A 25,809-nucleotide genomic window follows, 5' to 3' on the forward strand; every position below is an offset into this window, starting at 1 on the left:
ATCCAAGCGCTTCTAGGTGCTGGTTCAATGCCTGGTTCATGATTTATTTCATTCTCTCCCTCCATCTTGCAATAGGTTACTTTTAATCATTTAGATCTATGACACTATGCTAAACGTTATAGGAGACAAAAAGACTGTGAACAAACAAGAAGAACCAAACGAAAAGAGCCAAGTCCAGGATTCTCGTTCAGATCAGCAAGTCATTGGGATCGAGCTCCTAGGGCAGCTACTACATCTGTTATGTCCTCAAGATAATCCCAGCACCTAGCACTGTGCCTGGCACAAAGTAGATCTTCAATGAAAGAACGAAACGAGCCGTTATATTTACACAGATGTATTTCACTCAGTCCTCTGGAAGAGATGCCTAGTGTGAAAGAGATTCCAAGAATAAATACCATAAACAGCACCGAGCCCAAATCCCACAGCAAACATCCTTATTAAAGGCAAGGAACGTGGGGCGAGTTCCTTTTCTCAGAAGATTTTACGAGAACGCAACTGTTGCGAAGAAGGAACAGACATTCGAGGTTCTGAGTCCAATGGGAACTCATTTAACTTTTTATTTTGCAGCAGATTTCAAAGTCTGCACCCAGCCCCTCCCAGGACACAGGTCTCCTTGCAGCTGCCTTTAACCTAAGCGTATCCTCTCTCCACTTTAAACCAAACGCCGCTGCATGGAGCCCTGGGAGCCTGAGCCATGAGAATCCTGTAAAGAGGGTGAGTCTTGCTATTAGTTAACTAGAGCGAAGTTAGGGGACGCCTTTCTGGTTCTCCTCTCGTTTTAAGAAGTCTCCAGGAAGTAAGCCAAGAGCTAGGAGAGACCAGGTTTCCCCAGCCCCGTCCTGGGTAAACACCCGGCGGGCTTTAGGACCCAGCGGTGGGCTCTCCGGAAGGGGAAGGGGCCGGGCCTCGAGGCACAAGCCGCTGCCGCCAGGGTTTGAACTGCGCGCATGCGCGGCGGCCGCCGAAGGGGCGGGATCCGAGGCAAGCGTTGGTTCTGTGCGCCTCAGGTACGTGTTGGGCGGCAGTGGGCGCGGACTCGGTGCGGTCTCTCGCGGGCTGCGGTCGGGCCCGGGATCCTGCTCCTGGCCGAGTCGCGGTGCGCGGGCTGCTGGGGTCCGGCAGGGCTGGAGGCGGACCGCGAGGAAGCGGCGCGGCCGGGAAGATGGGGCAGGGTCGCCTCGGCCCCGGGGCCTCGGTTTCCTCCGATCACAGCGCCTCAGGGGGCGCGCACGGGCGCTGCGGAGACCTGTGTCCTGCCGGGGCGCGGCGCTAGGGGCCCCTGCTCGGGTTTTTATTCCCAGACCTAAGCTTACAGGTGCGTGGTCCCAGAAAGTGAGTAGGAAAGCGCCCACCACGTGCCAGGCGCTTAAGCTTTCTGTGCTCGGTTTCCCAGTATAGGAGGACGGTCACGGTACGTAGTATAGAGTTGTCCTGAGGGTGAAGCGAGTTTACACTTGGTGAGGCGCTTCGAATCGTGCCTGGCCGGCCCCAAATGAGCACGCAGTAAGGTTAGCAGCTGCTGCCGTCACTTCCTCACGTTCTGAATCTGCTCCGTCCCCAACGCCTTCAGCAAGAGCCCTCTCACTTCCTTTGTCTTCAACCCATTCTCCGCAGAGTTGGAGCACACAGCTGTATTAAAAAGGCAAATCGAAGGCCGGGCGCGGTGACTCACGCCTGTCATCCTAGCACTTTGGGAGGCCGAGGCGGCTGAATCACTTGAGGTTAGGAGTTTGAGATCAGCCCGGGCAACATGGTGAAACCCCGTCTCTACAAAAATAGAAAAATTAGCCGAGCGTGATGGTGGATGCCTGTAATCCTAGCTCCTCGGGAGGCTAAGGTAGGAGAATTGCTTGAACCTGGGAGGCAGAGAGGTTGGAGTGAGCCGAGATTGCGCCATTGCGCTCCAGCCTGAGCGGCAGAGCGAGACTCTGTCTCAAAAAAATAAATGTAAATCGGACTCCCCTTCTTAAAGCCCTCAGTGGGGTCCCATTGATCATTGCATAAAATCCAATTTCTTTAACAAGTCTTCTCCCCTCACCCGCTTCGGACCACTGCCTGCCTTGCCTAAGTCCTTTCTTATGACCTCTTTCCCACCTCTGCCGGCTGGGTTCCCTCTACTTGGGAATGCTCTTCACCCCATCATTTAGACAGCAGGTTCCTTTTGGCCCTCTGGGTCTCATTTATATGTTACTTTTTAAGTATATTCCAAAGGTCACCCCTATTTTTCTGTCTCATACTTATAAAATGTAATGAATGTCTAACTCATCTTGGCTATTAAAATTTTTATGTGTGGGTCTGTCTCTTCTGCCCTGAAATTAGCTCTGCTAGGGTAGAAACTATATTGTTAACGCCTCATTCCCAGTTTTTGGTACATAATAGCTGCCCAGTAAGTTATTGAATGAATGAACTCCAGGGGGTAAGCATGATATCCATTTCACAGACTAAAAAACTGAGGCTCAGCAGTTAACTAACCTGCCCAAGTGCACATTTACTCCCTAGTCATGGCCGGGTTTGAGACAAGGGACCATGTTTGCCTATTACTGGCCACACAGGAACTCAATTGAGGAGCATGGCCTCCAGGCCCAGCTGATGGTCTTTAAGCTCAATGAGAAGGAGCAGCTGGAGGTGAAAGAGAAATGCCCCAGCTGGGTCTCATATAGTGGGGAGTGAGGAAACACTAGTAGCTCTAAATGGAGTACCCTTTTATATCCACAACATGTTTTAAAGTCCTTAATAAAAGTGCTAACAGTGTCCTGAGCTAGCATTTGGTGGGAAGATTTCTTAGATTTTTCATGTTAGTGCAGTGTTTGCCAAATTTCACTCACACTCACCTGCCTTCTCCCCAGTTTGCTTTATTCTCTTAACACATGACACAGGATTTATTTCAGGGCCGCTTTGCCAGCTGGAGACCTCCAGCCCTGGGCTGGCTGCAGGAGGTGCCCTGCCCACTCAGCCTGGCAGAATGCATTTGTCTTTCATCCCCGCCCAGATCCCGTGGCCACTATGACTGCATGCTCAGCCCGCGAGGAGTCGGTTTGTGAGTGAGTGAGCAAGCCTGGAGGCCCGGCTGGCTGTTCCAAGTGCTGGCCCAGTCACAGGCTCCATGTAGGGCTTGTGGATGGCCTGGGTGTATGGCAAGTGACTCTGGTAGCAGATTCTGGTGTCCAGACGAGGGGGATGCAGTAGTGCCCAAACACTTGGAGACACCAGGCAAATAGAGATGTATTAACAGCTCTTTTAGTCCCACCATCTGCAGCCCAATGAATGGGGGTGTGTGGCAGCCAGCAGCTCCCTCTCCCATTGCTTCACTAGCGGAACGGAGTGCTACAGGGTTATAGCTCTATTTGCACTCGCTGTTTAGCTGGTCCGAATTTCTTGTCCTGCGTCCAAGAATAATGAGGTTAGGCTGACAACCGAAGGGGAAAAGGGCGGAGGTGAGTTTTACTCAGTGATGAGACAGTTCTCAGCAGAGACGGGACCCCAAGTGGATGGCCCCTGCCCTGACCCCAAGGTGGGCAGTTCGCTGGTGTGACTGAGTCTGGGGCTTTTATGGGCTCAGAATGAGGGAGTGTGTGCTCCATGGTTTGTGAGTATGCAAAAAAGGCTAAAACAAAGGCACCACTCAAAGGTGGGCATGACAATGTAAAAAACCAATTAGGGAAGGGTAGATATATGTAAAGTAGGTGAAGGGTGGGGATTGATCAGAGGAAAGTGTGCCAAGTGGGAAGAGGGGTTATCAATCCGGTCCGTGGATTTACCCAACACTTGTAGCTTGGCTTTCAGGCTTTAAACTGTCTTTGGTTTGCAGGTGGGGTTTCACTGGGGCCCTGCCCCTATCTGCCTAGGGATTTGTCTGCCTCCTGCCGCTATCACATAGACTATCATATACTTAATATTTTTGTTTGAATCCAATCATTCTTTTACATAAAATAAACTTTATTTTGCTATTTCAAATATAACGTAGCCATAAGATACCTTCTGTTGATGGTAAACAAAATTGTTGGTGCCTGCAGAAGAGCCCAAACCCTGCTATTTGTTCAAAATCAAGATTAAAAGCATTTCTACAACACTACAACTTTCTTCTTGATTTAAACAGGGAGTTTGGATTGGAATGGAAAGGGAAGTACTTTCATAATGTCAGGTCCCAATCACTTCCACTTCAGGAAACACTGTGCCGTTCTGATTGAGTGCCAGGATTCAGAATCAACACAGCTATATTGTATTCTGATTCTTTCAGTACCACTTACAAAAAGTGTGACTTCAGATTTATGCTGTACCAAGCACTGCCCAGGCAGGGAAGACAGATGATAAACAATTGAAGGAAAGCTCTCAGGTTCTACATTTCTTAAAACTGTATGACTTGATTACAAAGCACTCTGAAATGCTGGGCACCAGAGCCTCTATGAGGGAAGTAAATTCTGTTACTGGTGACCAGTTATCCAAAGTAAAAGTTTGATATTGGTGTTTACTAGCAGTTCTTTTCCAACTGGGCGGGAGCCTTGATGTCATAAAGAGGTTGGTAAGCTGCTACATTTAACAACAAGACACAATTTTATTAGTCTGTTGCACTAAATTGTAACCCAATAAATTGTATTAGGTTGTAATAAGCAACTCAGGCATATTTTTGAGTTTCAGCAGGTCCAAAACTTTATAGAGCAGAACCCCAAAAAAAGGCTTTGTTCTCTAGAAAATGTCTTTTTTAAAGCTTTGTTTTATTTTTTATCCTCTTGTCCTACTTTGTTGGAGGGAATTCCACTTCCATATGGTTTTAGAAAATGGAGATAATGATAAAACTTAAAAACCTTTGAAATTCTCTAAATAATTCACAGAGTTGCTAAGGATTTTACCTTAGCAACTCTTAGTACATAATAATGTACTTAGCACAGAATTCTCAGTGTTTGGAAATTCCATTTTATTTATATAATGCAGGCAACCATATTTGTTATGGTAGCCTCTTAAGATTCTGCAACTGCTTCTGAGAGTGGAAGCTGAATCCTTTCTCACCAAAAACTAAGACCTGCTACTTACTTTAGAATGGGCAAGGTATCTATAGAGAACAGCCTGAGGACTGTAATGGAAGATTCTATTACTCACCGCCTTGGTTTAGAACTGTTGTAGAATTCAAAGGAACCTAGAGCTGACATTCAGAGAGTGGTTTTTCCTAAGGTGGTTCTTTTGTTCCTAGATAACTTTAAAGTCACGAAACTGTAGCCACTGAAATAGTTTCTTCAAAGTGTATTGTAACAGCTTAAATACCCCTATCCAGCAACTTCTAGACTCTAGAACACTAGAGGAACCTAAGGTTTTGTGGGTTTTTTTTTCAAACCGGAAGGATTAAAAACATTTAAAAAACCACCTCTGAGCTGCTTAAGTAGGTGTTGAGTAGTAAATCAATCTGAATCTCTTTCATGGAGGAAACTGGGCACTCAGACCCCTTTAACCATGACAATACAGTTCTACAAACCCAGTTATCTAGTTTCTTAACCCTTAGCAGATTAGAAACAATTTAGGGAAAATATACCTATGCTATGAGTTTTAACAACCCCTTGAAGTGGGCTGGACAGAGTGTAGAAATAAATAGAAACTTTTAGAAAGCAGATATGAGGGCTCAAAAGAGCCAGACAGTCTAGGGTCACTATTACAGGAGCAAGTGGCCCCAGCCCTCTCTACAGTCAATAAGGCTTTGGCTGTGAGATAGTGTGTTCATGCTGGGTAGGGTAATAATGACCCAGAGCCATGAAGAATGGGCCAGATTATTGTCTTGATGCATTCTTGCATAAAAGTTCCTTGAAATGTGTAATTTACAGAAGGCTTGCTTAACTTGACTGGTAGTTAATTGAAAAAGGTGAAGAGAGAAATTGTGAAAAGGGATAGATACCTTTAAAGTATTTCCAACCCTCCCCTGCCCCGCCCTGCTGTGTTCACTGAAAAAATCATGAGATCTATACATTTAGAAAGGAGAGCTTAGTTCTTATAAAGGGCTACAGCCTGCAGTGTGGCCTGACAGGCTGGGAAGCACAGCCTCAGGCAGAGACCTTTAATGGCATCCCAGGGAGGAGAGGGTAGAACAGAGATTTATACTGAATGGGTTGGCCAAGTATAGTATTCAACAGGTGTGGGAGGAGCTATGAATATTCACCAAGGGGGGACACGTGTGCATGTGTAATGAGCAAACGTGTGTTTTGTGCATCTCGTGTTCACTTTGGGATGGAGACTTAACATTTGAATGAATTACAATTAGGCCCTCTGTCAAAAGGTGAAGGAGAGACATGAAGGCACTCAGTGCTCAGCCTCTGAGGACTGGTCAGAACCAGTCTGTGGTTTCTTTTCAGGAGAAAGTTACTCCATTGTCCAATGACAGCTGCAGTCATGGCCTGTGGAACCAGAGGGGTCAGTTAGTCAAGCATCTGGCAGTAGGTGAGCTGCAATTGTTTAGATATTCCTTATCTCTAGGCCAGTGCTTATTTAGCTGCTGAAGAAAAAAGAACCTTGTGGAAGGTAGAACATAGTTTAAAGGTAGCAGTGTGTGATTTAACCCTTGCTTGGCATGGCCTTAGGTCTTGTTTATGATTTAGTGTCATATTGTCACAGAATCTATTCTGCCAGTCTTACGATCTCTGGTCAGTTGTGTTTAAACCGCAGAAGGGAGGGGATATAACAGGCATGTCTGAGCTCCCATCTCATCATGGCCCGGAACTCAGTTTTTAAGGTTTCTCTGGGGTCCCCTTAGCCAAGATTTTTATTTTTAGTTCTCATCTAGAGACATATGCATATGTATTGATTTGCAAATCTTTTGATGTAGAATAATGTTGAATTCTCTTTTTTGGGGAATGTAGGTTTTGTGAAGGGAGTGTCACCATCTTGGTTTACTCCACTCAATGCATCTTTTCCAGCCTCATTAAAACAGCAGAAACTCGAAGATACTGTTGATCTGAGCACAGACTACTGAGTTTTGTAATTTTCCCCTGGGTCTTGTGCTAAAATGTTAAAAGTATCACATTGAGGAACTGTTCTTTAGCTGTCTGGAAAGTCTACTTAGATAGTCCTTTACCACTGAATTGACAAGATTTGGTAGGTAACAGCAAAAGTGACTGTTTCGTGTACTTTCCTGTTCTCAGAACAAGAAAGTAGAATTTGACTGTGGGGCTTAAAAAATAAAAGTGTGTTGCTTCAGTACAAGTTATTTCTGTGTAGGTGTTAGTAGATTTATGATGTAGCCAATAGGATAATTATATCTTGATATAATTATATCCAACTAATTATAATTAGTTGGGTCCTCATGGAAGTAGTGTAAATAATGTACATACCTAAGTGGTCATTTGGCTTTCCTCTTGAAGACTTTGTTAAGCTTTATGGTAAATGGGTTGTCTTTTGGGAAGTAAGACATACATAATCACTGAAGTCCTGTGGGTGCCTGTACTTGGGTGAAGGCTAGGTTTGTAAATTCCAATTTGACCTTAAGCATTTGAACATAGATTAAATGGACCTTAATCCCAAACGCTTATTGGAAGTTTCGGGGTCAAGAATGAATGTTTGTTTTATTTTGGCATTTGTCTTGATGCATTCTTCAACCCCCTTTCCTAGGACATCTAAGAACAAAGTTTAGATTGAAAGCCAAGGCCAGGCATGGTGGCTTATACTTGTAATCCCAGCACTTTGGAAGGCCAAGGTGGGTGGATCTCTTGAGTCCAGGAGTTCAAGGCCAGCCTGGGCAACAATAATGAAACCCTGTCTCTACCAAAAAAAAAGAAAAAAAAAATTAGCCAGACGTGATGGCGTGCACCTGTAGTTCCAGCTATTCGAGAGGATGAGGCAGGAGGATTGCTTGAGCCCAGGAGGCAGATGTTGCAGTCAGCTGAGATTGAACCACTGCACCACTCCAGCTGGGTGACAGAGCGAGACCCTGTTTCAAAAAAAAAAAGGAAGAAAAAAGAAAGGTGACCAGGACTTTTGCTTGTGATTTGGCAGAATCTGATAGTGGATTCTGGTAATGTGCTTATAAACACCCAAAAAGCAGCTGATGTTAGGTGGTTCAGCCTCTGGAAGGTGTCAGCTCATCTGACAGGGAAGTTGAGAGCAATAAAGTTATTTTGCCAATGCCCTGATGAATGGGAAATGCTGATGTTTCCACTTTTCATTTCCAGGAGTATAATGTCTCAGGAAGGCGATTATGGGAGGTGGACCATATCTAGTAGTGATGAAAGTGAGGAAGAAAAGCCAAAACCAGACAAGCCATCTACCTCTTCTCTTCTCTGTGCCAGGCAAGGAGCAGCAAATGAGCCCAGGTACACCTGTTCCGAGGCCCAGAAAGCTGCACACAAGAGGAAAATATCACCTGTGAAATTCAGCAATACAGATTCAGTTTTACCTCCCAAAAGGCAGAAAAGCGGTTCCCAGGAGGACCTCGGCTGGTGTCTGTCCAGCAGTGATGATGAGCTGCAACCAGAAATGCCGCAGAAGCAGGCTGAGAAAGTGGTGATCAAAAAGGAGAAAGACATCTCTGCTCCCAATGACGGCACTGCCCAAAGAACTGAAAATCATGGCGCTCCCGCCTGCCACAGGCTCAAAGAGGAGGAAGACGAGTATGAGACATCAGGGGAGGGCCAGGACATTTGGGACATGCTGGATAAAGGGAACCCCTTCCAGTTTTACCTCACTAGAGTCTCTGGAGTTAAGCCAAAGTATAACTCTGGAGCCCTCCACATCAAGGGTAAGAGGATGCTGGGTGTCAAGGAGCTGTTGAATTGCCCTTGAGAGTCTCTCCTCCGTGAAACAAGGAGGGCAGCCTAGAATAGTTTCTGAGAACTCTTCTTTGTGTTCTTAACTACTTTCAGGAAAAAAATTCTTGACAGGCAAGTGCATTAGTATAACAGCAGACTGTTTACTTAACTCAGGCAGAGCGTGTGTTCTCAAAACCCTGTAGCTCAACCCCTTATATCACTTAGCACGATGTTTAGCATTATTTAACTTTTTAAGATGAAGCTTGATGAGTAACAGTTTATCAACAAGGTAGCAAATACTTGACAACAGTAGTAGTTCTCCATGGGCCCTGGACCAGCAGCCTCAGCATCACCTGCAACTTGTTAAAATGCAAATTCTCGGGCCCCATTCCCGATTCATTAAATTGGACTCTGAGGGTGAGATCCTGCAGTCTGTGTTTTCACGAGCCCTTGAGGGGATTCTACTGCCCAGTCAAGTTTGAGAACCACTGCTTAAAAGCCTGGTTTTAGTTCCTGGTGAAGAAGAAGAAGAAAAAACAAAATAGTGCCTGAGTGCAAATAGATGTTTCAGTTATGGATCAAAAGATGGCCTTAGTTTGCTCTCCTTATTCCTCAGGGAGCACCTGCAGGAGGAAGAGCAGGAGCTCTAGAATCTGCTTTCTGGCCTCACCACTCATTTGCTGTATGGATTGTTAACACAGGACCTAACATTCTCTGAATTTTAGTTTGCTCATCTTTAAACTGGAAATGCAGAAAAATGGGAGCAAATATATGAAGTAACCAGTGTAATATATTCACATGGCAGATACAATAAACATTATTACCCTTATTTCAGATTTTTTTCCTGTCCCATATTTAAGAATAGTAATGTTCACTGTCAGCAGTGTTGTTCTTTTTTTATATATCCAGTATATAATTGTATATTGTGTGTGATGTATACATGTTGGAGTATTTCATACTGTAGAGTGTTCTACAGGTTGTTTTCTTTTTGAGAATCTCTTATCTTGGTACTTTGTCAAGTTTTTTGTTTGTTTGAGACAGACTGACAAATATTTAGAGAATTTTGCCAAGTTTTGCTCTATATAATAAAATAACCGGCAATTAGCACCAAGGTATTGTGGTAACATGATAGGAGCTCTTACATATATTTTCTCCTTTAATCCTCAGGACAGTCTTATGAGTAGATGTTACAATCGTATTCCTTGGATAAATGATGCATCTGCACTTTAGAAAAGTGCCCAAGGTCGTAGAGCTGGTAATGACATTCTGGCATCAGAATCCATGCTGTTTGCTATAGCACTCTACCATGTGCCATAATTGTAGATGGCTTAGAAGATCTCATGGAGGAAGGGGGACTTCAAAAGGCCTTTGAAAGATGGGTAAAATTTAGAAGGGAAGAAATACATGCTGGTGGGGGCAAATGGAAGAATATTTGCAGTTTATCTCTGCAACTCTCCCAATAAGGTAGAACCTTCCTTAACAATTTTTTTGTTGTTGTTCTCTGAAAATCGTTCTACCCCAGCATCTAGCTCAATGTCCAGAAGATAGGAAGCACTCAGGAAATATTTGCCAAATGAATGAGCCAGTCTTAATTCTCAGAGGCAGTTTAGTGGGTATGAGCGAAGGTGCTGGAGCCAGACAGCCTAGGTTCAAACCCCGACTGTACCCCTTTCTAGCTGTGTGTCTGTGGGCAGCCTCCTAAGAAGGCTCCTCCGATATAAAATAGAAATAACAGACCCCACCTAGAAAATGGATATGAGGAGTAAGTAATGGATGGGAAGTGCCAAGAGTGCTGCCTGGCATCTAACAGGTCTCCACAGATGTGGCTGTTGTAATGGAAGGTCACGATGATGGTGTACTTGCTCTCGTGGTATGGTTTGAGAAGTGAGCTTTCAACTTACCTAACATAAAGCTTGAATGGGTACAAAGTGAGACTTCCCTAGAGATGACCAGGAACACCAGGAATGTGAGTTGATAATTGTGAGTGCCTCTGTCCTTTCATTCACAGGCCACAGGTGCTTTCCAGTCTTTCTGGAAAGTCTTTCTAAACTGTCCACATTTATAAAATCTTTCTAGAAAGTTTTTCTAGTCTTGAGTTGGGAGATTTCCTGGAGAGGGACTTGAATGGGTACTTGGAGGAGGTAGAAGTTCAGAGATCTGAAAAGAATATGTATCATTATTGTCCATATTGAGTTTCTAAACTTGATCAATCATTCAGTACTGAAGTTGTAGATTTTGGTTTTGCATTGTTTTATAAAAGAATGTATGATAAATATTAAATACCATAGGGAAATTTTTTTTGAATTTTATGAAACATTAAAGTCTGACTTTGTAGTAACTGTTTAGCTTACTGTGTTCTGAGTCAGATCTTGATTGTCAGTGACTGTTGAATGAGTTAGTAGTGATTATTATGACTAGAGGATTTTTGTGAGTGTGAATTTGATATATGTTTTGTCTTCTCAGATATTTTATCTCCTTTATTTGGGACGCTTGTTTCTTCAGCTCAGGTGAGTATACCTTTAAGCTGTTTTTTCTTTGGGTGAAAGTAGACAGGTAATTAAACAACTCCATAAGAAAATATGAGAGGCATAGTTTGGGGATCTCAGTCCTGTTCAAAGACTGAGATGGCACATACCTGGAGGCTGGCTCAAGTGCCACAGTAATGAGATCCATGGCCATCAACATAGAATGGGGATGTCACTATCAGGAGAGCATTTGACTCAAGTCAGCCTCCGCTGGCCAAGAAGTCACTTTGGACATTCCAGCTTGAAAGACTAGAATGGGACACTTCTTTTGGGGATACTGATTAACTCATGGGACTGAGTTAACTCTGGTGCATAGAGTGGTGAGGTATGGATAGAGTGGTGAAGGCCAAGTCAAGTTTGATTTAATTTAGAAAAATGTGAATTTTCATGTTCAGTGGCTCCTTCCTGACTGAGCTAGTCCCTTTGTCTTGATAAATCATGTAATGGTCCAGACCCACAAGTAAGTGGTCCAAAGGGCCCTGTCCCTGAAGAAAGGCAGGCTTCCTTTATGTTTGGTTTGGCATTGAAAGTCCTGGTTTCCATTTGGAAGGTGGGGAGCATTTGCAAATGCCCTGTTAGCTCGACTGAGTTACTAAGTCCAGGATTACCCAGGTATGGGGAGGAGCCTCCACGGGTAAGACCAGTACAGAACTTGCATTTAAGATGTAATTGTTAGAAGCCTAGTGAATGTCTGGTCCCAGGTGGCTGTGTACAAAGCTAGCTAATAAGTTAGCCTGAAAGGAAATGTTCTTTTCTGAAAGTCCTGGGATCTTTGTCTCCAGTATCTGTCTTTTTATAATCACCTAGGGGAAAAGGGATAAATTTATAAATCCTTTTATTTAAATTAATCTCAGGGCCATTAGACATAATGTAATAACACCCTGCGGACAAGTACAGATGCTGCCAAAACATGCAGAGATAATTTCCTGGGAACCTGTTATCTCATGTACTTGGCTCCATTTAGGTTCTTTTAACCATGCATTTAAGATAAATTATAGGTTTGTTAGTATTGCAGCATAACCCTCCAGGTTTATAAATAATACATGTAGTGTATCACTATTTTAGAGTTTCCTTAAATGTAATAACTAAACAATTCTCCTTATGAACTGTTTGGCAGAATTACCTATGGCTTAGTTACTCTTCTTTTCTCCCATCTAGTTTAACTACTGCTTTGACGTGGACTGGCTCGTAAAACAGTATCCACCAGAGTTCAGGTGAGTTCCTCAGGGTGACAGACAACACTATAAACTGTAAAGGGGCTTTGACACCTAAGATTTGTATTTCTCAGGTGAAAGCCACTCATCTTTTGAGTTTTTCTTTTGAAACTGTTGAAATCACACAGACATTAAGTTATATCCGGAAAACAGCATTCTTTGATCTATTTAATCCTACACATTCTTTTTACGGATTTTAGCATTTTCCTCTGTGCTCTTTCAGGAAGTAGATAAGGACAGGCTTTAACTCAAATAACAGAATTTCATGTCCAGTCTTAATATGAAGGAAAATACCATCTCCACATACCTTCTAGATCTGTGAATGTGCCAACATGCCGCCAACGTGCCATGCTTTCCGTAGCACATCAATTCTGTTCTGTTTTGAGGATCCCTTTGTGTTTCTGAGATGAGGAAAGGAGGCTTATCTGTGGCCTTCCCTTATCTAGGCTCTGGAGGTGATGGATTTTTAGGCCTTCTGCCTGCACTTCATCAGCCTCATGTTAGGCAATACAGACCAAATAGGGCATCACACAGGTGCCACCCTTCCCTATTTCTAACACATTTACGGGGCAGATTCCCATAACAGCAAGTAGGATGGAGGAAAACACACAAGAAATAATGATTGTCAGGGTCCTCAAAATTCTTGGTACATTTAGGGCATCAGATTGTGGAAACCTTTGACATTAACAGTAGATAAAATGCTGTTAAAATTTTTCAAGCAGCTTTGGCACTTGGGGCTTTTTTTTTTTTTTTTGACCTGTAACACACAGAATTAGTTTTAGCTGCATGTAAAAGAATATTCAAAATAACAATGGCTTAAATAAGACAAATTGTTTCCAGCGTGACACATTCAGATGGTAAACATTTATGGTCTAGATGGGGGCACCAGGGTTCTCAGAGACTTATCCACCTACCCTTTCTGTTCCACCATCCTTGTATGTGACTTCAGTTTTCAGAGTCACCTCGTGGCCCAGTATGGCAGCTAGAGCTCCAGCTTACTCATCTATTCCAGGTAGCAGGAAGGGGAAAGGAGGAAAAGGACAAAAAGGCCCACATTCTAGCTATGCCCATCTAAGCAGCCTTCCTGGAAGTCCCACACAACACCTGCATCTATTTCATTGAGCAGAGCTCAGCTGCATGCTAACCAGCTGTAAAAGAGGCTAGAAATGTCTTTTAGCTTAGCACACCTTTTCCTGAATTAGCCTTTTGTTAGGGAAGGAGGAGAGAATGGCTGTCTGGAGGCAACAAGCAGTTTCTGCCTTGGCTCCTCCTCGCAGTAGTATCCTTGGGTGTCACATTGGCATTTTCTGTTCTTCCTCCCTTTTCTTAAAGACCTTGAAATCAAACTGTCACCCCATTAGAGTGTTGGCAAAGTGCAGACTGCAGTTCCTTTGTATCTGTTATGAGTTAAATTATCTCACCCCCAAAAAAGATCTGTTGGAATCCTAAGCCTCAGTACCTCAGAATGTGATCTTATTTGGAGATAGAGCCCTTACAAAGGTAATCAAGATAAAATGAAGGCATTAGGATGGACATTAATCCAGTATGACTAGTGTCCTTATAAAAAGAGAAATTTGGGTGCAGAGACAGAGATAAGACCATGTAAAGACACAGAACGCCATTTACAAGCCAAGCTCCTAGAAGCTGGGAGAGAGGCTTGGAACAGATGTGCCTCACAGCCTCAGGAACCAATCCTGCCAGCACCTTGATCTTGGACTTCTCGCCTCCAGACCTGTGAGACAATATATTGCTGTTGTCTAAGCCTCCCAGTTTGTGGTGCTTTGTTTTGGAGGCCCTGGCACACTAATACAGTATCCACTGGACTCTCAGTAACTAAAGGGACGAAAGTGTCCTCCTTCTCCCTGCATCCCCTTATTGCCAAATGCATCTTGGGAAGGCTATTACGAGCCTTAGAAGGATGAGGAGTGACCTAAATGGTAAGTTTAAGTAACATCCAGAATTTGTATGTAGAAAAATTCAGATCATAAGGATTTATACCTCAGTATGCTATTGTTCAGGTGCCATCTTTTTGTAATAAGTCGTAGAACCAATAAATTTGAAAGAATTAATGAGGACTTCAGTTTCTATCAGTCATATTTAATCTTTTTAATAACATGACTTGATCTAACATTTTTTATTTCTAGGTGCTAGATGCACGTGTGTTTCTTACATTATTCTGTTTTTCTTACCTAATTTCTAAAAATCACAGGTGCGTGTTTCATAGTTTCATTTTACCTGTCATGTTAGAATAAAGCTATTGGGCAAGAGGTAGTGAGGTATTAGTACTGGAAATAGATGTTTCTCTCTAGTTGATTGTTGTTCCTTTGTGAATGGTAGAGAATCATTCTGCAGTGTGATTGATAAATGTGGAAGTGGGTCGGTTGTTTATCTTTCTTGATTGCTTATATCCAATTTTTGTTGTGTTGGGAGAGCTTGTAGAAATATACTTATTTCTTTTTTTTTTTTTTTTTTGAGGCGGAGTCTCGCTCTGTCGCCCAGGCTGGAGTGCAGTGGCGGGATCTCGGCTCACTGCAAGCTCCGCCTCCCGGGTTCACGCCATTCTCCTGCCTCAGCCTCCCAAGTAGCTGGGACTACAGGCGCCCGCCACTACGCCCGGCTAATTTTTTGTATTTTTAGTAGAGACGGGGTTTCACCGTTTTAGCCGGGATGGTCTCGATCTCCTGACCTCGTGATCTGCCCGCCTCGGCCTCCCAAAGTGCTGGGATTACAGGCGTGAGCCACCGCGCCTGGCCGAAATATACTTATTTCTAAGGATTATCTTGCTTTGAGTTAATCAGAACAAGAATCCCTCAAAAGCCTTTTTAATGTATTCTTGAAGAGTGTTTTTATATTATATTTGGAATTCAAAAATATAGCATTTTCAACGTAGCTTGGGCTCTGTTTCATTGAAATCTAACCACCCATTAGTGAAGCTGCGTCATGCTGTGGGCCTGGCCTGGGCCTGTTCTCTGTTGTATCCTGGGTCTAGCTCAGTACATAGCACACAGGAGGAGTTTGGTGAATATAGATGTGGTGTGAAATGAATCCACCGTGTGGTCCAAAAGAAAAAGCAAAAAGCACTATATTATATAATAATTATTATATATCTTTAATTTATTTGGACTTAAATATTTTAACACAGAACTACTTATGTGCCGTTTTGGGCCAAAGAAGATAATTATTCAAGGACTTTCTTGAGTCATTACCCCTCTGTATTACAACAGAGCTGCAGAATCAGGCCATGTAGCCCCATTATAAAGGTATCTGGTAAATGAACATTAGCTTTTCACTGCTCTGTGTTAGCCCTGTCTTCATTCAACTACAAAGGCCGGAAACATATCGAGTGATAAGGAAGCTAGCATTCCTTAATGAGGCGAGTCCAGCTTCATGAATGATGTATTTTAATTAATTTATTTATTTATTTATTTATTTTTGAGACAGAGTCTTGCTCTGGCACCCAGGCTGGAGTGCAGTGGCTCAATCTCGGCTCACTGCAACCTTCACCTCCCAGGTTCAAGCGATTCTCATGCCTCAGCCCCAGAGTAGCTGGGATTACAGGCACGCACAACCATGCCTTGTCTAATTTTTGTATTAGTAGAGACGGGGTTTCACCATGTTGGCCAGTCTGGTCTCGAACTCCTGACCTCAGGTAGTCCACCTGCCTCGGCCTCCCAAGGTGCCGGGATTACAGGTGTGAGCCACTGAGCCTGGCCATGAATGATGTATATTAAATACTAATGCTCTCTTTTTAGGAAGAAGCCAATCCTGCTTGTGCATGGTGATAAGCGAGAGGCTAAGGCTCACCTCCATGCCCAGGCCAAGCCTTACGAGAACATCTCTCTCTGCCAGGTAAGCCACTTACTGCCGTTGGAGAGCACGCGTAGTCTGAGTTAGAAGGAAACTTAGACATTTAGTCCACCCTCTCACTTAGTGCAGAAATCCTCTCTCCAGCATCAGTCATCAATAGATATTTGTCTAGCCTCAGCTTAAACACTTCCTGAGATAGAGCATCCCATTCATAGTACTCCTCAGGGTTGGAAAGGTTTTTCTTTTTGTGGGCCTGAAGTCTTCTTACTAATTTCTACTCATTGGTCTTAATTTTCCCCTTCTGGAGCCACACAGAATAAGTAAGTCTTTCATCTTACACATGTCAGTGATTCATATATCTAAAGTGATCTGTCCTGTCTCCCTTCGTTTTCTCTCTTTAATTCAAACATTCTCTTTCTTCAGTTTTACTCAATGTAGTATGGATTCTGAGTCTTTCCGCAACCTGCTAGTGCTCCCCTGGTTGCATGTAGCTTGTCAGTATGCCTGTTGAAACCTGGGTTTCAACACTGAATAGGTCCTCTGGATGTAGTTCAGTGGCTGTGGGTTTCTTTTTGTGAGTATCCTGTGAGTGCAACTTAAAACTTGTAGTTTTTTGTGACACCTTATGTAACTTATATTAGCTGCCATTGACACTTCAACGGTAGTCCTTCAACTGTAGTTCTTTTTTTTTCACATGAGTTGCATCTAAGGTCTAAACAGGAGAGACCCATAGATTAAAAAACTGTTAGGAAACTATGTGAGTCGTATGCTGTGTATGATCTAAGTCCAATGTGGAGACATTAAGTGGTCTTGTAACAGGCATATCCACTTGGTTTGCTAGGACCAAAGCAAAGCAGAAAAGAAAGCTATGTTAGTTTGTTCTTGCACCGCTATGAAGACATACCTGAGACTGGGTAATTTATAAAGAAGAGGGGCTTAATTGGCTCACGGTTCTGCAGGCTGTACATGAAGCATGGCTGAGGAGGCCTCAGGAAACTTTCAATTGTGACAGAAGGTGAAGAGGAAGCAGGCACATCTTACTTGGCCGGAGCAAGAGGGAAGAGAGGGGGAAGAGCTACACACTTTTATCAAACAACCAGATATCATGAGAACTCTCTATCACGAGAACAGCAAGGAGGAAGTCCACCCCCATGATCCAATCACCTCCTACCAGGCCCCTCCTCCAACATTGGGGATTATAATTTGAGATGAGATTTGGGTGGGGACATAGACCCAAACCATATCAAAGGCCAAGAAACGGTTATTGCCCAGTTTCTTTATATATTCCCATAATTTTGTCCTAATACTTTGCAGTTAGCATACAATGTGGCCAGTGAGTCTTGGACTTTCATTAGGATCCATTTCTTTAGACTCATCATCTAAAAAGATCTTCTATTACACGTGGCGCATTTTGAGCAAGAAACATGCAAAGTAGAAAGGAAAACAAGGAATACAGAAGAATTTCTCACATTTATGATAACTACTTCCTATAGAAATGGTGATTATGAAGTAGCTGGTGTAATAGTCACCTTTTCCTATTTCTTTTGGCTGTATTCGTTTGTTATGAGAAAACACGAAAGATGCTTTTTATAGCCCTTTTCTTTCCTTATCGTTAGCTTAGTGAAATTGGCAAAAGATTTCTGCTCTGCAAGTACAGAGACAGAGTGAATTACATCCTTTCTGGATTTTTTTTCTCATTTTCCTTCTAGTGTCTTTTTTCCCCATCCACAAAGATGTAAGAATTCCAACTCATATTGTATCACTCTTTTTCCAACTATATATGATATCTTTGTATTTTTTTAAGATTAATACAGTACAAGAGCTCAATCTTGTTAGTTTAAACATACCTCACAACATTTTCCTTATGATTTAACCCACTGCACTTTATAGAGTTGTCATTTTAAAAATGCCTTCTATCCAACATGGGCTCATCTCATGCCCATAGATGTGCCTTTGCTTCGCAGTTGCCAAAATTCCATTGTTTTGCTTCTATTTCCAGCAACATAAGAGGTTATACTGCAGTAGGATAGCTCCCATCAAACCTTATAGTGGGCAGAAAGTAAACTGACACAGAAATCCTGAAAACCAGTGACTAAATGAATGGAAATAAAGTCTTTTTCAAATATTACCTACCTGTGCTCGTTTAGGAGAGTGGTTCCTGTGCTTGATAGTGTGTTCCAGGCTGGCCACCAGAGGGCATAGTGAGCCACTTCTTCCAAACCTCTTGGAAAGAGCTGTGAAGAAGCTCCCAACTCTAGGCTGACGTACAGGATTGTGTCCTCCTGATCTCTTGAAGCACCTTTATACCTTGTCTGTAAGATAAAGTCTTTTTCTAGCAACGTGAGTCATTGAAACTGAGACACATTAGTCAGAGAATCGGTGGCTGCTGACCCTCTCCCATTTTGCAAATGTGGGACCTAAGGGCAGACATTGAGACCTTGTGGTGGTCAGAGTCACATTGCCTGGGCTCAGTCCCGGCTCTACGTGTGTGTATTAGTCTGCTTGGGTGCTATAACAAAATTACCTGGGTGACTTTTCTTGGACTTGGGTCGCTGAAACAACAGACACTTATTTCTCACAGTTCTGGAAGCTGGGAATTCAGGATCAAGGTGCCAGTCAGTTCAGTTCCAGGTGAGGGCTCTCTTGCCAGCTTATAGATGGCCACGTTCTCACGGTGTCCTCATGAGGGAGAGGGAGGAAGACAGACACATAGGCTGTCTGGTAGCTCTTGTATAAGGACAGCAGTCCTGTTGGATCAGGATCCCACCCTTATGACCTCATTTAACCTTAATTACCTCCATAAAGTCCCTCTCTGCAAATAGTCACATTGGAAGTTGGGGCTTCAACATATGAATTTGGTGGGGGACAGAAGTGTTTAGTCTACAACACTTATTCTGGGCTTGTCACTGGCTTGTCACCTAATTTCTTTATCTTTGAAATTGATTGCTAATGCTGTTCATCCTAGAGTTTACTAAAGGACTTGGTGCACTAGCCCAAAAACAGCACCCAGTAAACAATATCTATTGAAGCTATTATCCTTGTTTTTTGTGCTTAGACTTACCCAGAAGCATGTAACTTTTAGCAAACGAAACAAAAGCCAGGTCTCTTGACCATTGTTCTTTCTCAGCTAAATATCAGTTTATAGAGTGGCAGTCTTCCTTCTCATTTGGTAATTTTGAAAACATGAAATAGAGTTCCCTGCACTTTCTTCTGTGGCCAGAATGCACAGATGCATGCTGGTCTGTGAGCATCTCCATTCCAAACAGGAGCTGTGTTGTAACTCACCTGTGTATTCCAGTCGCCCATTACTGCCCCCAGCAAAGTTTCACCCATGTCATGTGGTAAGGAGGCTGGGGTAGGTAGTGGGGAGAGGTTGCAGTAGTGATTGCCACGATTATAGAGTGCCTATTGCATGCAGGCCCCCGTTGCTCAGCATTTTACATATGTGATCTCGTTCCTGACAACTCTGGATCTCAGAATGGTACCGTTTTAAAGAGGAGAAAGCTGAGGCATAGAGTTAGATGTATTTTCCAGAGTCATACAAAGTTGTGAAGGCAGGATTTGAGCCCATGTACTGCGTTCCTAATTGTGAAACTTTTACGGTTATTTAAACTCTTTCATAATCTGCATCTTGTGACATATTCTGCTTAACCAAGATCTGGCATTAGTGGGTATTAGATAACATGTTTTCTATATACATACCCTCCATTAGTTTGTAAAGGTGTCATTTTATAACATGAAAATGGATTTCATATGTTTTTATTTTCAGCACTTGCTATGCTAATATAAGAACATTTCTATTTTAATTTAACATCCTAAGTCTTTATGTTGCCACCACTTTCAGTGTTTCTTTTTTTGTTTTTGGAGACGGAGTCTCGCTCTGTCACCCAGGCTGGAGTGCAGTGGCGCTATCTCAGCTCACTGCAAGCTCTGCCTCCTGGGTTCACGCCATTCTCCTGCCTCAGCCTCCTAAGTAGCTGGGACTACAGGCGCTGGCCACCACGCCTGGCAAATTTTTTCATATTTTTAGTAGAAACGGGGTTCCACTGCGTTAGCCAGGATGGTCTCCATCTCCTGACTTCGTGATGTGCCCGCCTCAGCCTCCCAAAGTGCTGGGATTACAGGCGTGAGCCACCGCACCTGGCCTTCAGTGTTTCTTTTAAATATGCTCTGAAAACTGTGTACCATTAATTTCTGTATAAGCCAAATATCTAAAACTTTGCATAGAGACTCACTTGTTTTACTAGTTTTTTGTCAACTAAAGAATTTAGGCTTCTCAGTCCTAATTACTGTAATTAAAAATGTAGTATATATTCTGTAGTGTATAATCATTCTGGGTAACAAAATTTGTGTTTTTTTTTTTTTTTTTTTTAATGAGCGTCCCCAGATGCTATTATAAAAGCTGTCTTGTTATTCAAGGGCTTGCCTGGTAGAGATCAGTAAAAATAGTTTTAAAAAAAAAAGTTGACCTGATTGCTTTCTAATGTAATTTCCAGTAGATATGGATATTAGTGAGTTGTTTTTAAATAAATGACTTCTTTTTCATCCTAGGCAAAGTTGGATATTGCGTTTGGAACACACCACACGTAAGCACTTTTTGTGAAATAGGGGAACCCCTCAAGCATTGTCATTTGTCCATTACACGGTTATTCTTAGGAGAGACTGAGCATGGTAGGCCCACCTAGGATCTAGCACAGCGATGCTTAACTGAGCCTGGGGGAGCTATTCTTTTATTTAATGCTCTTATAAAAATTATTTGGTCTTTCCTTTTAATTTTATAGATCAGGAAACTGAGGCCCAGGTTTAGGTATGTGATTTTTCCTTGGGCCAGTAGTGGAGACAGGAATAGAACCTATTTATTCTAACTTTAATTAATATATACACACAATTTTTCAAGATGTGGTCTCACTCTGTTGCCCAGACTGGAGTGCAGTGGCATGATCACAGCTCACTGCAGCCTCCAACTCCTGGGCTTAAGCAATCCTCCCACCTCAGCCTCCCGAGCAGCTGGGACTACAGGCACACGCCACCATGCCTGGCTAATTTTTTTGTAGAGACAGGGGTCTCACTTTGTGACCCAGGCTGATCTCGAACTCCTGGACTCAAACAGACCTCCTGCCTTAGCCTCTCAAAGTGCTGGGATTACAGGCATGAGCCCCTGTGCTGGCATTAACTTTAGCTTTAAATTTGTTCTTGTTTGCTCATTGCTAAAATTTACCTTATTATTTCCTTTGGTCCATTCACCACTACCCCCTCGCTCCTACACACATACTTTGCAGGTTAAACTCAACAGAGCTCTTTTTTTTTTTTTTTTTTTTTTTTTTTTAGACAGAGTCTCGCTCTGTTGCCCAGCCTGGAGTGCAGTGGCACAATCTTGGCTCACTGCAACCTCCATCTCCTGGGTTCAAACGATTCTCCTGCCTCAGCCTCCCAAGTAGCTGGGGTTACAGGCCACTGCCACCACACCTGGCTAACTTTTATATTTTTATTAGAGACGGGGTTTCACCATGTTTGCCAGGCTGGTCTCAAACTCCTGACCTCAGGTGATCCACCCTCCTCTGCCTCCCCAAGTGTTGGGATTACAGGTGTGAGCTACCATGCCTGGCCAAGAGCTCTTAATTCAGAGTTTAAAATGCCTAGGAGGCTGGGCGCTGTGGCTCATGCCTGTAATCCCAGCACTTTGGGAGGCCAAGGTGGGTGGATTATTTGAGATCAGGAGTTCGAGACCAATCTGGCCAACATGGTGAAACCCCATCTCTACTAAAAATATAAAAATTAGCCGGGCAGTAGTGGGACATGCCTATAATCCCAGCTACATGGGAGGCTGAGGCAGGAGAATCGCTTGAGCCTGCAAGGCGGAGGTTGTGGCGAGCCAAGATCATGCCACTGCACTCCAGTTTGGGTGACAGAGTGAGACCCTGTCTCGAAAACAAAAGAAAATGCCTAGGAAAGTAATTACAGTTGAACTTTTCCCAATTAAGTATCTGTAGTTTACATTTTGTTGAAATGACATTATCTTGTAGAAGATTGAGCTCGTGTCTTGAAATTACTTTTAGTTGCTTATTTAAAAAAAAATTTTTTTTTTGTTGAGACAGTCTCGCTCTGTTGCCCAGGCTGGAGTACAATGGCGCAATCTCAGCTCGTTACAACCTCCGCCTCCCAGGTTCAAGCAATTCTCTTGCCTCAGCCTCCTGAGTTGCTGGGACTACAGGCGTGTGCCACCACGTCCAGCTAATTTTTGTATTTTTAGTAGAGATGGGGTTTCACCATGCTGGCCAGGCTGGTCTCGAACTCCTGACCTCAGGTGATCCACCCGCCTCGGCCTCCCAAAGTGCCGGGATTACAGGCGTGAGCCACCGCACCTAGCGTATTTTTAAAATGTTTTAAGAATTAAATACTTCTTATGTTCTTGACACAGCTCAAGAGGATATAGAGTTTTTATTCTTACAGCTTTTTCTTTGGTGAGAGAAGCAAGACAAACATGTGAATTAGAAAAGGAGAATCACCTTCCAGATCATAGTGATGGAGGGTAAACTGCCTTCCCCACCTCACAGGGTAGAGCTAGAAACAGTGAACGAGGCAGTCTTTGAGACTGCATACACTTTGGCACACAAGCCCTGCTCTGTCCAGTTTTGGTTGGATGCCATGCAATCCCGTGGTCTGTCTCACAGTGTTTTAGAATGGGAAAGCTCTTTGGTTTCCTCTAGAGCTGGGAGCAGAGTTAATTCTTATGGCTCCAAGAATCGATAGAGGGGAAAGAGAAAGCCAAAGCAGCTGAATGTCAAATATCCAGATCCAGGTGGTGGCCAGTAGCAAACCACAGGATGGGCGAGGCATGCCTCTTTCCACTAAGATCTGTAGTCAGGCCCCCACCATGCATCATTTAGTCCTCTTTCCCACCAAGGCCATGTCTCCCCCCACCTCACCTACCCCTGTACCAGTAGCATGAAGTGTTCACCGTTGCTGCCACCAGCCCTGTGAAACCATGTGTGGTGAAAGGAGTGCCCTGGCATCTGGCATTTGTGATCCCAACAAGCTCTTCCGCTGGCCCACTTTGTGACCTTGGATAATCCCTGTTAAATGTCCAGCTGTAGATTCCACAATTGTAGAATGAGAATAACTCCTCTTCTGTATTGCTGTGAAGACTTGGTGTGGTAACATACGACAGAGCTTCTAGGATGGCACCTGGTAGAGAGGTGCTTGCCATATGTTAGTTCTCTTCCCCCTTTGCAGGAATAGCTGCGCATTTGGGTTGGGTCCCTTTTGCTGCCTCACAGCTTAGCAGACAGTATGGCAGGTCAGCATTCTTCAAGGGAGATCTCATTCCTCACCCTTTTCTATCCATTTTTAACTGTGACCTTATTAACACTACCATTTTGTCTATGAAAAGATGAATATGGCTACTCTCAAGTTCATAATTCTATTTGATAGCATTCATTGACATTAGTGTGTGATTTGCCTGATAATCGATGTCTTGACTAATGGAAATATTTGTAAACGTTCTATCATGAATCCATAACTGACTTATTCTTAATTACAATCAGCTGCTGATTTGGCAACTGTGTATGTAAATTTGCCCAGATTTCAGGGAGCACATTTCACAAATGGAAAGAAGATGGCACAGCAGCTGTCATTTCTCCAGCTTTGCATTAATTTACTGTTTGCCAGCTTGGGTTAATTTCTCGTTTTGGCAAGAGCTAAATATCTCATTCTCTTGTCTCTTCTCGTACCCTTTTTCTTATCTTTTTATGATAATTTCATCCTGCCCAGATAATGTTCATGTTGTTTATTTGGAGAGAGCCAGTGGTTCACTTTTTTTTGCCATGTGTGAATTGAGTTTCATCAGTAAGTATTAAGTAGCATTTTGGCCTCAATAGAAATGATAAAATAAGTCAAGACAGAGTTACAGCCATGAGAAGTGACACTTTAGTTGGAGAGAGAGAACTTAGATTCCTGAAATATTGAAATAATCCTATTGAAAACAACAGGGAGATAAAAATCATCCATTATTAGATGAGAAAATAAAGCTGTGTACCAAAGGAGTAATAGGAATGTACAGGTGAGAGTGTTTCACATTTAACAATTTTTTTTTTTTTTTGAGACAGAGTTTCACTCTGTCACCCAGGCTGGAGTGCAGTGGTGCAGTCTCGGCTCACTGCAACCTCCGCCTCCCAGCTTCAACTGATTCACCTGCCTCAGCCTGCTTAGTAGCTGTGATTACAGGTGCCCACGACCACACCTAGCTAATTTTTATATTTTTAGTGGAGATGGGTTTCACCATGTTGGCAAGCCTGGTCTCAAACTCCTAACCTCAGGTGATCTGCCAGCCTCAGCCTCCCAAAGTGCTGGGATTACAGGCATGAGCCACCGTGCCTGGCAGCAAAATGTATTTTTGCATTTCACTCACAATAGTCCTGAAGTGGGGTTGATCCTTAGAGATACAAGTGGAAAACTGAGGCTCGGGGACATTGAATGGCTTACCTAGGGTCAAAGGGCTTCTAAATGACAAAGTCTGGAGCTCAGGTCTTCAGACTTCAAATGGAAAGCTTTTATCTATATCCTATTCCCTCTCTCTCACTGCAATTAAAATAAGAGAAATGTGTTCGACTAGAGGCCTGGGGAGGTCACATGGAAAAAGAGTGGACCCCACTAAGTCTGATTTGGGTTAATGAAGAATAGGCAAGACTTACCCCAAGCCCAGATAACACACTTTTGACAAGTGTGGCATCTATGGATACAAAAAACCACTAATGGTAATGAAGCATCTTTTAAACTTCTTAAAATTTCAACTCATAATAAGAAATACACTTTACATTTCAGTGTATTGTGCACTAACATACCTTTGTGCCAAAACAAAATTTCATGAACCAGTAATTAAATATATACAGTATACCAATTTATGCTATTTTAGTTGTTTAAAAAATGCCAGCCATGATGCAGCAAGAGGTTGTTGACCATACTTTGAATCTCAAACACCAGACCAGAAGGTTCCAACGGTCCCTAGTAGTAACAGGTAATGCTGAATAGATAATAAGGGGCCAGGCTGGAGGGATGTGAAGTGCCAGGACTGGCACTAGGGTTGAAAGTTCTTTTACCACCAAATACTCAACCTTTCTGAAAGGTTTTCATCCTATCACTTAGGCAGACTTTCATCATGGTAATGTATAGAAGGGAAGATTATAAATGTTAAGTTTGGGTAATATGAGAGTTTAAAAAAATTCCTTTAGCTATGTATTACATTTGCATTGGAAAGGTATTACATATTTTGAAAGTACTATTAATGCTTTTTGATCCTTTGCTGTTTTTAAAGGAAAATGATGCTGCTGCTCTATGAAGAAGGCCTCCGGGTTGTCATACACACCTCCAACCTCATCCATGCTGACTGGCACCAGAAAACTCAAGGGTTCGTAGGGGCCTGCTCACTTCCTGGCAGTGTGTGTGTTGATAAAGGTCAAAAGCCAGAACATTCACTTTATTCTTTTTTCTATTTTTTTTTTAAGTTGTAAAAATAACACACATGGCCTAGAAAAAGAGTTGTATGCA

General features: G+C 43.0%; 1 protein-coding gene across 22 annotated transcripts in view, besides 3 other annotated features; it reads left to right on the forward strand.

Moving 5' to 3' along the window:
- The window catches only part of TDP1 (tyrosyl-DNA phosphodiesterase 1), an 89,797-nt gene continuing 63,992 nt past the window's right edge, over positions 5-25,809 (forward strand). For 4 of the 22 annotated variants that reach the window (XR_007064034.1, XR_007064035.1, XM_047431568.1 and 1 more), the window contains exons 1-7: positions 964-1,837; positions 8,145-8,710; positions 11,184-11,227; positions 12,404-12,459; positions 16,212-16,308; positions 20,818-20,852; positions 25,577-25,669. Coding sequence is in view for 18 of the 22 variants with exons in the window: in XM_047431568.1 (XP_047287524.1) it covers positions 8,152-8,710; positions 11,184-11,227; positions 12,404-12,459; positions 16,212-16,308; positions 20,818-20,852; positions 25,577-25,669 (884 nt within the window). In the remaining 4 variants the exon portion in view is untranslated. Of the gene's footprint in view, positions 715-963; positions 3,435-4,815; positions 5,044-8,144; positions 8,711-11,183; positions 11,228-12,403; positions 12,460-16,211; positions 16,309-20,817; positions 20,853-25,576; positions 25,717-25,809 lie in introns of those variants that run through there. The other 18 variants (XR_007064033.1, XM_005267848.4, NM_001330205.2 and 15 more) reach the window with 14 other exon arrangements.
- Positions 1,062-1,291: a silencer, noted in NCBI's record as "silent region_6004". NCBI's record gives its function as "represses an Ori minimal core promoter by ATAC-STARR-seq in GM12878 lymphoblastoid cells {active_cell/tissue: GM12878}" and the evidence as "EXISTENCE:reporter gene assay evidence [ECO:0000049][PMID:35858748]".
- Positions 3,022-3,530: an enhancer, noted in NCBI's record as "H3K4me1 hESC enhancer chr14:90424329-90424837 (GRCh37/hg19 assembly coordinates)". NCBI's record gives its function as "activates a minimal SCP1, AML or CMV promoter by ChIP-STARR-seq in naive H9 embryonic stem cells {active_cell/tissue: H9 hESC(naive)}" and the evidence as "EXISTENCE:reporter gene assay evidence [ECO:0000049][PMID:30033119]".
- Positions 7,913-9,112: an enhancer, noted in NCBI's record as "CDK7 strongly-dependent group 2 enhancer chr14:90429220-90430419 (GRCh37/hg19 assembly coordinates)". NCBI's record gives its function as "activates an origin of replication core promoter dependent on BRD2, BRD4, P300/CBP, MED14 and CDK7 cofactors, with strong dependence on CDK7, by STARR-seq in HCT116 cells {active_cell/tissue: HCT116}" and the evidence as "EXISTENCE:reporter gene assay evidence [ECO:0000049][PMID:35650434]".

Source organism: Homo sapiens, chromosome 14 (genome assembly GCF_000001405.40).
Source record: "Homo sapiens chromosome 14, GRCh38.p14 Primary Assembly".
In the NCBI taxonomy this organism is placed as follows: domain Eukaryota; kingdom Metazoa; phylum Chordata; class Mammalia; order Primates; family Hominidae; genus Homo; species Homo sapiens.